Below are 12,948 nucleotides of genomic sequence, written 5' to 3'. Positions count from 1 at the left end.
CATTTTGTTGGAGATTTATTTATAGTTGGAAACTCTATTTACTATTGTTTCAAACTCAAACTTCCAGTAGAGTTTGGCTTTCGAATTATAGTCATGGGAGTATACTGCAAATTATACCATTTAGAGTTGTAAAAATCTTGTCAGTGAAGCTCACGTGGCAAGGTATAGAGCAAGTCTTTGTGCCACCAATAGGTACACAACAAGACATACATATCTGATTATAAGGCAAATTCCTACACATACAAAAATCATTAATATCAAATTGATTATACTTATTTTATCAAAATCAATCGATGTATCACAGTATGCTAATTAATTATATGAACTAAAAATTTCAATCATCCTATAAGACGGGGGGGGGGGTGGGTAAATTAAAAGACATATCATTTTTCTGTCCTAGTGACTATCTTGAATAATGATCCTCTTTAAGAAGTTGTCGGGCCAGGCATGGTGGCTCACGCCTGTAATCCCAGCACTTTGGGAGGCCAAGGCGAGCAGATCATGAGGTCAGGAGATTGAGACCATCCTGGCTAACATGGTGAAATCCAGTCTCTACCAAAAATACAAAAAATTAGCCGGGCGTGGTGGTGGGTCCCTGTAGTCCCAGCTACTCGGGAGCCGGAGGCAGGAGAATGGTGTGAACCTGGGAGGCAGAGCTTGCAGTGAGCCGAGATCGCGCCACTGCACTCCAGCCTGGGTGACAGAGCAAGACTCTGTCTCCAAAAAAAAAAAAAAAGTTGTCAGCTGGATGTTGTGGCTCACACCTGTAGTCCCAGCACTTTGGGAGGCTGAGGCGGGTGGATCACAAGGTCAGGAGCTCAAGACCAGCCTGGCCAAGATGGTGAAACCCTCATCTCTACTAAAAATACAAAAATCAGCCAGGCGTGGTGGCAGTCGCCTGTAATGCCGGCTACTCAAGAGGCTGAGGCAGGAGAATCACTTGAACCCAGGCGGCAAAGGTTGCAGTGAGCCGAGATCATGCCACTGCACCCCAGCCTGGGCAACAGAGTGAGACTCCATCTCAAACCAAACCAAACCAAACAAACAAAAAGCAGCACAAGAGCCGGGAGTGGTGGCTAACTCTTGTAATCCCAGCACTTTGGGGGGCCGAGGTGGGTAGATTGTCTGAGGTCAGGAGTTTGAAACCAGCCTGGCTAACATGGTGAAACCCCGTCTCTACTAAAAAAATATATACAAATTAGCCAGGCATGGTGGCACACACCTGTAATCCCAGCTACTCGGGGGGGTTGAGGCAGGAGAATCCTTTCAACCTGGGGGGAGGGGAGGCTGCAGTGAGCCAAGATCACACCACTGCACTCCAGCCTGTATGACAGAGTGAGACTTCCGTCTCAAAAAAAAAGCGGGGGGTAGGGGGGAGGCCGGGCAGCACAAGAAAGGGCAAACAAATATGAAACCCTGTAGCCACAAAGAAATAATCAGCATATTCTACTTAAAAAAAACCTGATAAGCAAATATCTCCCTTATTCTACATTTAAATTGGCATAAAAACAAATTATTATAATCTTCTGATCCAAAAGTAAGACATTATTGTTTACTTTTAAAGTAATAAATGTGATCAGGTGCGGTGGCTTATGCCTATAATCCCAGCACTTTGGGAAGCCGAGGTAGGCGGACTGCTTGAGCCCAGGAGTTTGAGACCAGACTAGGCAACATGGCAAGACCCTGTCTCTACAAAAAATAAATTTAAAAATCAGCCAGGAGTGGTGGTGTGTGCTTGTGTTCCCAGCTACTTGGAAGGCTAAAGCAGGATTGCTTGAGCACGGGAGGTCGAAGCTGCAGTGAGCTATGATTGTGCCACTGCACTCCAGCCCGTGGAACAGAATAAGACTGTCTCAAAAAATACACACAAAAAATAAAAACATAAGGCCAGGCACGATGGCTCATGCCTGTAATCCTAGCACTTTGGGAGGCCGAGGCAGGCGGATCACAAGGTCAGGAGATCGAGACCATCCTGGCTAACATGGTGAAACCCCGTCTCTACTAAAAAAAATACCAAATGTTTGCCGGGTGTGGTGGTGGGCGCCTGTAGTCCCAGCTACTAGGGAGGCTGAGGCAGGAGAATGGTGTGAACCCAGTAGGCAGAGCTTGAAGTGAGCCGAGAGCGCGCCACTGCACTCGAGCCTGGGTGACAGAGCGAGACTCTTTGTCTCAAAAATAAATAAATAAATATAAAATAAAAACATAAAAAAAGTATATTTTCAGGAAATGATTCATTTTAAATCCTACTCAACTAAATGACTCAGTTAAGGGTAACTGATTATAATCAATGTCATCATTTAAACTAATACCCATTTAGTGACCATAAACAACAAAAGATAATTTTATCCTAATGCTTCTATGAGTTGGTCACCATTGGATATAATTAATAAGCAGAAAATTTGCTTGGAAAGTTTTATGACATAAGTACCTCTTTAAGCTGCTCTTTTCGAAGTTTATACTCTCTTTTCTGGGACTCGAGAAAACTATTCAGTTCTTTCTTCTGTTGGGCCTGAATATGTTGCTGAAATTTTTTCTCTTCATTGGACATCACTTTAGCCTATATGAAGTTTAAAAAATGAATCAAATTTAGTTAAGTAGATAAAGTAGTGGTTTAATATACATCATTAAGAATACCTTTTATTTTCTAAGAACAAGAAATCATTAGAAACATTACCAAAATAAAAGACTGAACCAAATTATAAACATGTGCTACTTGGCATCCTTATAATTTGAACTTCATAGAATCAGTAAGATGAAACTCATCTTTGAAATGTTGATCTCTTACAGGGTCAAAAATGTTGTCAACTTTTTATTTCATTTAACAGAAGTATACCTTCCTCCCAACCCTCAATCCCTCAGTAAAACAAAACAAATGCTATATTTTATTTCTGATTCTATATGCAATACATGTTCATTGTAGAATATTTACAAAATACAGAAAAACAAGAAACATCTTACATAATTTTGGCATCCAGAGATAACCAATGTAAACATTTTGGTGCATATCTTTTGCAATTTTTTCTTTTTTTAAAATTATTATTTTTGAGATGGAGTCTTGCTCTGTTACCCTGGCTGCAGTGCAGTGGCACGAGCTCGGCTCACTGCAACCTCCGCTTCCCGGGTTCAAGTGATTCTCCTGCCTCAGCCTCCCAAGTAGCTGTGACTACGGGTGTGTGACACCACGCCTGGCTAATTTTTGTATTTTTAGAAGAGATGGGGTTTTGCCATGTTGGCCAAGCTGGTCTTGAACTCCTGAGCTCAGGTGATCCACCCACCTCGGCCTCCCAAAGTGCTGGGATTACAGGCGTGAGCCACCATGCCCGGCCTCTAATTTTTTCTATAAATGTTCATGTCTCAAACACACACACATACACATACACACATATATTTGCATGTATATAATTAAGTAGGTATTGTGGCTCATACCTGTAATCCCAACACTTTGAGAGGCTGAGGTGGGAGGATCACCTGAGCCCAGGAGTTCAAGACCAGCTGGGTAACAGGGCGAGTGCCTGTCTCAAAAAATATGTTACAGGGTCTCACTCTGTCACCCAGGCTGGAGTGCAGTGGTACAATCATGGCTCATTGCAGCCTCCTCCTGAGCTCAAGTGATCTTCCCACCTCAGCCTCCTGAGTAGCTGGAACTAAAGGCGTATGCCACCCTGCTCAGCTAATTTATTTTTTTTGTGTGTGGAGACAGAGTCTTCCCATGTTGCCCAGGCTGGTCTTGAACTCCTGGGCTCAAGTAATCTTCTCACCTCGGCCTCCCAAAGTGGTGGGATTACAGGTGTGAGCCACTGCACCCATCCTGGTTATATACTTTTAAAACAAATTTGTTACCACATTGCATATCTGCTTCAGGAATTGTTTTCCTAAATATGTTAGTATCGCCTTTTCCCAAGCTATTAAAAATAATATCTATCAAGTGTGGTGGCTCACATCTATAATCCCAGCACTTTGGGAGGCCGAGGCAGGAAGGTCACCTGAGGTCAGGGATTTGAGACCAGCCTGATTAACATGGTGAAACCCCTTTTCTACTAAAATAAAAATAATACAAAAATTAGCCAGGCATGGTAGATGAAAAATTAGCCAGGCATGGTAGATGCACCTGTAGTCTCAGCTACTTGGGAGGCTGAGGCAGGAGAATTGTTTGAACTTGGAGAGCAGAGGTTGCAGTGAGCTGAGATCACACCACTGCACTCCAGCCTGGGCGACAGAGGGAGATTCTGTCTCAAAAAATAATAAAAATAAAATAAAAAATAAAAAAATGAAAATATCCAATGCCCAGAGGATTTTAAATATGTATACATTGTTTCATCAAATTATTTCAAAATCAAGTATGTATTTATACTATAAATTATTTTGTCAGGGTCCCTACTACTATAAGAATGTTCTTTTTTTGTGAAAAGGGAGAAGAGGGTAGCTATGATAAATAATGCCTCACTGCAGACTACCTGGACATATTTTAATGATATTGTGTGAATTTACTGAGAAGTCTACATTCTACTTGACAAACATGGCTATCAAAAAAAGTAAAACAATGGGACACCAAAAACATTAGAAGAAAAGGTTTCACATAACAAAAATCCTAAAAACTAACTTTTATCATGTAAAATAATGACAATTATTTGTCAATAATCAAATGAGCTCAATCTGAATCTGAATCTTTCATAACTTATAATCTTCAACATTATCTGTATTTATTACAGTAATCTTAAATCATTCTGATATTAAAATGCTGCCAGAAATTCAAGGGTAGTTTCCAAAAAATACAAAAAAGAGAATAAAAGTGACTTTTTGAGACCTAAATCACCTAATGATAGGAGATTTAGCAAACTCCTCAGATAACCAGGAAACAAAAAGCTTAAAGTAACTGAGTAACTTACCTATTGTGACACTACAAAACTATCAATAATCAGGAAATGGTCCCATGTCTTATTAGTTCCCAGACCTAGTACTTGATATTAAAACACATCAATTTTTCAGACTCAAAATTTTGTTGGCTATTACAAAAACTATAAAGTGGACTACTCCAATGAACAGTTTTAAGACTGATTTGTTTTAAATGACCCACACACAAAATTAGTGAGAGATAAAACACACAGGTGCCACCCTTTCTTGTAATATCAATTTACAGAAACCTTTATATAAGTCACATAAATGCTTCTCCTTTTCCCCAATTTGCTTGGTTCACGGGAACAGATACGCTAACATCAAACTGCCATGTTGGTTAATTCTGAGACATTCAAAACCTAAAATAAGCAAAGTAATAATACTGAATAAGCCACCTCTTTCTCCATGGCAGCCTGGTGTTTCTTGATAAGTTTCTCCATTTCTGCAGCAAAATTGTTACGCTGAGTTTCAAGATCTTTGTCTAATCTGAGGCGATGTTCATCCATCTCAGCCTTTAGCTTGTTTTCCAGAGTCATCAGTTGCTTTTGATGTTGTCGCCTCATTCGCTTATAGCCAGACATTTGTTCTCTAAGCTCAGAGTCCTGCTCATGTTCTTGCATTTGCCTCGTAACCTAGACATACAAATAATGTAAGGAAAAGAAGAAAATAAAACATTCTTCTTCGAAAAGCATTTTAGACAATTCTATATTAACTAAGTAGGGAATTAGTGTAAAATATCCCAATGTTAGCAGATTCCAAGGAAATTTCCAACAAGTCTTTTAAAGAAATTGACTGGTTCTAAAATTTATATGGGGATATAAAAGAACCTAGAATATCCAAAACAATCTTGAGGAAAAAAAATATTTGGAGGATATGCAGCACTATAGTAATCAAGACAATGTGATACTGGCTTTAAGATAGGCTAAGTAGATCAAGGAAATAGAATAAAAACTAGAAAGAGATCCACATATGTTCAATTGATTTTTCTACCAAGAAAGTCAAGTTAATTCAGAGGATAGTGTTTTTAGCAAATCCTGCTGAAACAAGTGGTTCTTTACATAGGAAAAAACAAATAAACCTTGACTCCCTATATCACTTATGTCATATATAAAAATTAATTTGAGAAGGATCATTTGAACTGAATGTAAAACCCAGAATCAGAAAGCAGAAACACAAAATATCTTTATAACCTTGGAGTAAGCAAATACTTCTTGGGCAGGACACAAAAAACACTGACTACAAAGAAAAAAAAAAACAAAAAAAAAACCTCAATTTAAAAATCAAGATAAAATACAAGACATAAAATTAATCACCTTAAAGTGAACAATTCAATATGTTTAGTGTATTTACCATGCCATGCAACTATCACCTTTATCTAGTTATAAAGCATGTTTATCACCTCAGAAGAAAATCCCATACCTATTAAGCAGTTGCTCTCCATTCTCCCCTCCTGGTAACCATCAATCTGCTTTTTGTCTCTATAGATATACTTATTCTGCATATATCATATAAGTAGTGTCATATGAGTTTTTATGGCTGGTTTCTTTCACTTAGCATGTTTTTGAAGTTTATCCATGTTGTAGTATGTATCAGTATTTCATTTCCTTTTATAGCTGAATAAAATTCCACTGTACATATATAGCACAATTTGTTTATCCACTCATCCATTGATGGACATTTGTGTTCTTTCCATCTTTTGGCTACTGTGAAAACTGCTGCTGTGACTGTGTGTACATGCACTTGTCTGAGTACCTGTTTTCAATTGCTTTAAAAAATGTTAATGTTTTGACAAATCATAATTGTATACATTTATGGAGTACATGTGATATACTGATATATGTATTCAACATATTAAATTAAATCAATCTAACATATCCATCACCTTATGCATCATTTTTTATGGTGAGACATTTGAGATCTACTTTTAATTATTTCAAAATATTCAATATATTATTGTTGACTATAGTCACCTGGCTATGCAAAAGATCTCCAAACCTATTCCTCCTATCTTTCTGAAACTTTGTACATTTTGATCAACAACTCCCCATTTCTCTCTCTCCCTAAATTCTAGTAACTTATCACTCTACTCTCCACCTCTATTCTATGAGTTCAACTTTATTTTTCTAGATTCCACATAAAAGTGAGATCATGTGGTATCTGTCTTTCTGTGCTTGCCTTATTTCACTTAGCATAATCCTCCAGATTCATTCATGTTCTTGCAAATGACAGGATTTTTCCTTTTTAAGGCTGAATGGTATTCCATTGTGTATATATGCTACATTTTCTTTATCCACTCATCCACTGATAGGCACTTAGGTTGATTCCATGACTTAGCTATTGTGAATAATGCTGCAATGAACATGGGAGTGCAGATATCCCTTCAACATATTAATTTCAGTTCCTTTAAATATGTACCCAGAAGTGGAATTACTGGATCATATGGTAGTTCTATTTTTAGTTTTTTGAGGAACCTCCACACCATTTTCCAAAATGGCCATACTAATTTAGGTTATCACCAACAATGTGTAACAGTTCCCCTTTTTGCCAATACTTGTTATCTTTCATCTTGTTGATAACGTTTTCAATTCTTTTTCAAAGACAGGGTCGGTGGGTTGCCCACGCTGGAGTACAGTGGCACGATCTCAGCTCACTGCAGCCTTTGCCTCCTAGGTTTAAGTGATTCTCCCACCTCAGGCTCCTGAGTAGCTGGGACTACTGGCACGCACCACCATACCCAGCTAATTTTTTGTATTTTTAGTAGAGACAGGGTTTCACCATGTTGGCCAGGCTGGTCTTGAACTCCTGATTTCTTTTTTTTATTTTTTGAGACGAAGTCTTGCTCTTGTCCCCCAGGCTGGAGTGCAATGGCGCAATCTCAGCTCACTGCAACCTCCGCCTCTCAGGTTCAAGCAATTCTCCTGCCTCAACCTCCCGAGGAGCTGGGATTACAGGCGCCTGCCATCATGCCCGGCTAATTTTTGTATTTTTAGTAGAGACAGGGTTTCACCATGTTAGCCAGGCTGGTCTCGAACTCCTGACCTCAAGTGATCTGCCTGCCTTGGCCTCGCAAAGTGCTGGGATTAGAGCTGTGAGCCACTCCACCCGGCCCACCATTTTATATAAGGCACTTGGGTTATCGGTGGATTTTGGGATTTGTGGAGAGTCCTGGAACCAATCCCTCACAGATACTGAGGGATAACTGTACCTTGTTTCAGACGGTTAAGGCAGGTGTATAGAATTGTAAAAACTCTTCAAATTGAATACCTAAGATCTGTGCATTTTATTGTATGAAAAAAATCCAAGGCAGGAGACGGTAGACTAAGTTATGGTATATAGCACTTATAATGAATAATATAGCTATGCTTATTTGTATTAAAAAACTACTTATGCTCTGAATATTTTAAGTGAAGTAAATGAAACTACTGGCTTTAAAAATATAAATCTTTTTCAGATTTTTGATTCATTAAATCCATAAATTTAAAATGTCCTTAATTGATTTGAGGAAGCCAAACTTTGGGAGAGAACACTTTCTTGGGAAACATTTAACTTATGCCAAGTTACCAAGAGGTTTTCCTTTGAGCTGGTCCTTCTCAACATATTTATCAAAATAGTCATGCAAAAATTAAGCAATCTTTACCACTTGCTCTGTTCAAAGTGTTATTTACATGTTGCAGAATAGTAGGAATAACCTGACTTATGGTAGGGTACTATGTTCCCGACCCCACATGTCATATAGATTCATGAACTACAGCATAGGATTTACAACATCTGCTTATTACATAGTTGAGAAGTCAGATAGCTATCATATCTTTTTTTCCCCATCATATTTTCTTTTCTTTTTTTTATTTTTTAGTTTTTGAGACAGAGTCTCGCTCTGACGCCCAGGCTGGAGTGCAATAGTGCGATCTCAGCTCACTCCAACCTCCGCCTCCTGGGTTCAAGCAATTCTCCTGCCTCAGCCTCCCAAGTAGCCGGGATTACAGGTGCCCGCCATCACGCCCAGCTAATTTTTGTAGTTTTTAGTAGAGATGAGGTTTCACCATGTTGGCCAGGTTGGTCTCGCAACCTGACCTCAGGTGATCCACCCGCCTCAGCCTCCCAAAGTGCTGGGATTACAGGTGTGAGCCACCACGCCTGGCCTCATTTCCTCATTTCCTTCCTTTCCTTTCTTCCTTCCTTTCTTTTCTCTCTCTCTTCTTTTCTTTCTTTCTTTTCTTTTCTTCCTTTCCTTTTTTTTTTTTTTTTTTTTTTGAGACAGGGTCTGGCACTGTCACCCAGGCTGGAGTGCAGTGGCGTGATCTCGGCTCACTGCAACCTCCATCTCTTGGGCTCAGTCAATCCTCCTGACTCAGTCTCCCAAGTATATGGGACTACAGGCACATGCCACCACACCCAGCTGAAATTTTTTTTTTTTTTTGAGATAGGGTCTACCTCTGTCACCCAGGCTGGAGTGCAGAGGGACTATCTCAGCTAACTGCAGCCTCCGCCTCCCGGGTTCAAGCGATTCTCCAGCCTCAGCCTCCTGAGTACCTGGGATTACAGGCACACGCCACCATGCCCAGCTGATTTTTCTATTTTTAGCAGAGACGGGGTTTCGCCATGTTGGCCAGGCTGGTCTTGAACTCCTGACCTCAGTTGATCCACTTACTTCAGCCTCCCAAATTGCTGGGATTAGAGGTGTGAGCTACCGCACCCCACCTGAATTTTGTATTTTTTGTAGAGATGGAGTTTCACCATGTTGCCCAGGCTGGTCTCAAACTCATGAGCTCAAGTGGTCCGCCCACCTCAGCCTCCCAAAGTGCTACAATTACAGGCATGAGCTACCACACCCAGCCTTTACATTATGTTTTCTAATAGCCTACTTTTCTTATGGTATCTTAATGTAATTTCGTTGTATCCTTAGTATCCTTTATCATGCTTTGGTTTTACTTATCTGTCTGATTAGGATTTTAAGTGCCCCATTATAGCATCCTTGTAATGAACAGATAATCCATATTATTTGGAAAATCAGAATGACATTTAGAGTATACCACATTGTACTGCTTGCCATTTCCAATATTCCCCTCTTTCTGGTGAGCCCCACATAATATATTTCCTTACTGTCCACATTCTTTTTTTTTTTTTTTTTTTTTGAGACAGAGTCTTGCTCTGTCGCCCAGGATGGAGTGCAGTGGTGTGATCTCTGCTCACCGCAAGCTCTGCCTCCCAGGTTCACACCATTCTCCTGCCTCAGCCTCTCAAGTAGCTGGGACTACAGGCTCCTGCCACCACGCCCGGCTAATTTTTCGTATTTTTAGTAGAGATGGGGTTTCATCGTGTTAGCCAAGATGGTCTCGATCTCCTGACCTCGTGATCCGCCCGCTTCGGCCTCCCAAAGTGCTGGGATTACAGGCATGAGCCACTGTGCCCGGCCCACATTCTTCTTATATGGAAATACCATTCATTTCTCCTCTCCCTGCTGTGCCTAAATCCAACTAATTTTAAATACTCAAACTATTTCATAAATACTTCATTTATGCTCCTAATCAAAAGTTATCTGAATTCCTCTTTAGTGCCTTGTAGTTATCTTATTTAAGATATTCTAACATACTCGTTTTTTGTGTACGTGTCATGAAGACATTGTTAGTTTAACATTTCTCAGAGTTCTTTGAATAACATCTTTCTCTTAATAGGCACTTAAATATTAAATGAGTATTTCGTAAAATAAAACCCAAATACAAAACAATATATAGCTATACTTGAGTTTATATTGCCAAGGTCCCACATGAAAAATATATTTATCTCTAATTCGGGTAAGTACATACCAGTGATGCTGTCCGTATAGTAGCAAAGTGTTCTCGATTACGATAGTGTGATTTGTGACGAGATACTTGGGGTGGAGATTGTGGATCTGATGCTCTTGTTCTAGGATCTCCCTCTTCTCTGTAATTTTCTTCCTCCTAGGAAAAAAAAAAAAAGACAATATTATGTAAGGTGAACAGTTTGTTTGAATCTTTATGGAAATTAAAGTTTAAAGACAACTTGATCAATCAATCTCAAAGACATAATTTTAAAAAGCAAAGCCAAAAAGTAGAAATGCTGGTCTTCTTTTTTCTTTAGAAACAGGGTCTCACTGTGTCACCCAGATTGGAGTACAGTGGTATGACCATAGCTCACTGTAGCTTCAACCTCCCAAGCTCAAACGATCTGCCTACCTCAGACTCCTGAGAAGCTGGAACTACAGGCACGGGCCATCAGGCCAGGCTAATTTTATTTTTTTAGAAACAAGGTCTCCCTATGTTGACTAGGCTGGTCTAGAATTCCTGGGCTCAAGCAATCCTCCCTCCTTGGCCTTCCAAAGTGCTAGGATGACAGGTGGAAGCCAATATGTCCAACTTTATTTTCAATATAATTAGAAGAAATTATTTGTACAGGGTATAAAATAGTACACAGACTCAGGACAAGAAAATGCACATGACTAGATTGACTGATTGATTTGTTTGTTGTTTGAGACAGGATCTCGCTTTGTCACCCAGGTTGGAGTGCAGTGGTAAACACTCAATGGCTCACCGCAGTGTCAACTTCCTGGGCTCTAGCGATCCTCCCACCTCAGCCTCCCAGGTAGCTGGGACCACAGGCATGCACTACCATGCCCAGCTAACTTTTGTATTTTTTGTAGAGATGGGGTTCTGCCATGTTGCCCAGGCTGGTCTTGAACTACTGGGCTCAAGCAATCTGCCTGCCTTGGCCTCCCAATATGTTGGGATTACATGCGTGAGTCACTGTGCCTGGCACATGACTAGATTTATATCCTACCGATTATATGCAAAATTGAAAAGCTTTAACATAACTTGAAAACAAAGCTGATGAAACATGTAGCCAATATAGTCAATGTTTTAAATAGGAGTAGCAGAAAATTAATTGCTCAAAGGCTCTTGGGTTTTGGAAGCAATGGAGCTATCTTTTTAATACTTCTGCCATCTGTCCAAAATAAGCAAAAACAAAAACAGTTGTAAAAAATTGAAGGACTGATATCCTTCCCTGAACTCAATTTGTTAGCTGAAGAGAACATCAGTTAAGTAGCAACCAATTAATTGTGGGAATAATCTTTTTTTTTTTTTTTTTGAGACAGGGTCTCCATTTTGTTGCCCAGAATGCAGTGCAGTGGTATGATCAAGGCTAACTGCAGCCTTGATCTCCCAGGCTCAACTGATCCTCCACTACTCAGTGTGCCTCCACTACTCAGCCTCTTGAGTAGATGGGGCCACAGGCATATGCCACACCTGGCTGTTTTTCTTTTCTTTTCTTTTTTTTTTTTTTTTTTTTTAAACAGATGGGGTCTCCCTATGTTGCCCAGGCTGGTCTTGAACTCCTGGCCTCAAGTGATACTCCTGAATCAGCCTCCCCAAGTGCTGGGATTATAGGAATGAGCCACAGTGCCCAGCCCATTTTAACCATTTTAAGTGGTATTAATTATACTCTCAATGTTGTACAGCTATCACCTATTACTTCCAAAACTTTTTCATCAACCCAAACAGAAACTCTGCATCCATTAGCAATAACTCTCTATTTTGACCTCCACCCAGTCTCTGGTAACTCCTAACCTACTTTCTGTCACTATGAATTTGCCTATTTTAGATATTTTATAGAAGTTTAATTATACAATATTTGTCCTTTTGTGTCTAGGCTTTTATCACTTAACATGTTTTCAAGATTCAACCATATGGCAGCATGTATTGGAACTTCATTCCTTTTTATAGCTGAGTAATATTCTACTGGATGTAAAAACCACAGTTTTTTTTTTTTTTTGAGACAGAGTCTCATTCTGTCACCAGGCTGGAGTGCAGTGGCATGATCTCGGCTCACTGCAACCTCTGCCTCCTGGGTTCAAGCGATTCTTCTGTCTCAGACTCCTGAGTAGCTGGGATTACAGGTGTGTGCCACCACACCTGGCTAATTTTTGTATTTTTAGTAGAGACGGTGTTTCACCATGTTGGCCAGGATGGTCTCAATCTCTTGACCTCATGATCCGCCTGCCTCGGCCTCCCAAAGTGCTGGGATTACAGGCGTAAACCA

The 12,948-nt window shown here is 40.0% G+C and overlaps 1 protein-coding gene across 2 annotated transcripts in view, besides 1 other annotated feature; it reads right to left on the bottom strand.

Annotated features, from left to right (window-relative positions):
• TAOK1 (TAO kinase 1) overlaps positions 1-12,948 on the bottom strand; it is a 161,541-nt gene that overhangs the window by 38,483 nt on the left and 110,110 nt on the right. For both annotated transcript variants that reach the window (NM_020791.4, NM_025142.1), the window contains exons 13-15: positions 10,698-10,832; positions 5,289-5,525; positions 2,429-2,557 (exon numbers count right to left, since the gene is read on the bottom strand). In NM_020791.4, coding sequence (NP_065842.1) covers positions 2,429-2,557; positions 5,289-5,525; positions 10,698-10,832 — 501 coding nt within the window. The remainder of the gene's footprint in view (positions 1-2,428; positions 2,558-5,288; positions 5,526-10,697; positions 10,833-12,948) is intronic.
• Positions 6,343-6,543: a silencer, noted in NCBI's record as "peak2781 fragment used in MPRA reporter construct". NCBI's record gives its function as "represses an SCP1 promoter by STARR-seq MPRAs in K562 erythroleukemia cells {active_cell/tissue: K562}" and the evidence as "EXISTENCE:reporter gene assay evidence [ECO:0000049][PMID:32103011]".

The sequence above is a fragment of the Homo sapiens genome, chromosome 17 (assembly GCF_000001405.40).
Source record: "Homo sapiens chromosome 17, GRCh38.p14 Primary Assembly".
Lineage (NCBI taxonomy): Eukaryota > Metazoa > Chordata > Mammalia > Primates > Hominidae > Homo > Homo sapiens.
This window is presented reverse-complemented; position numbering and strand designations above follow the sequence as displayed.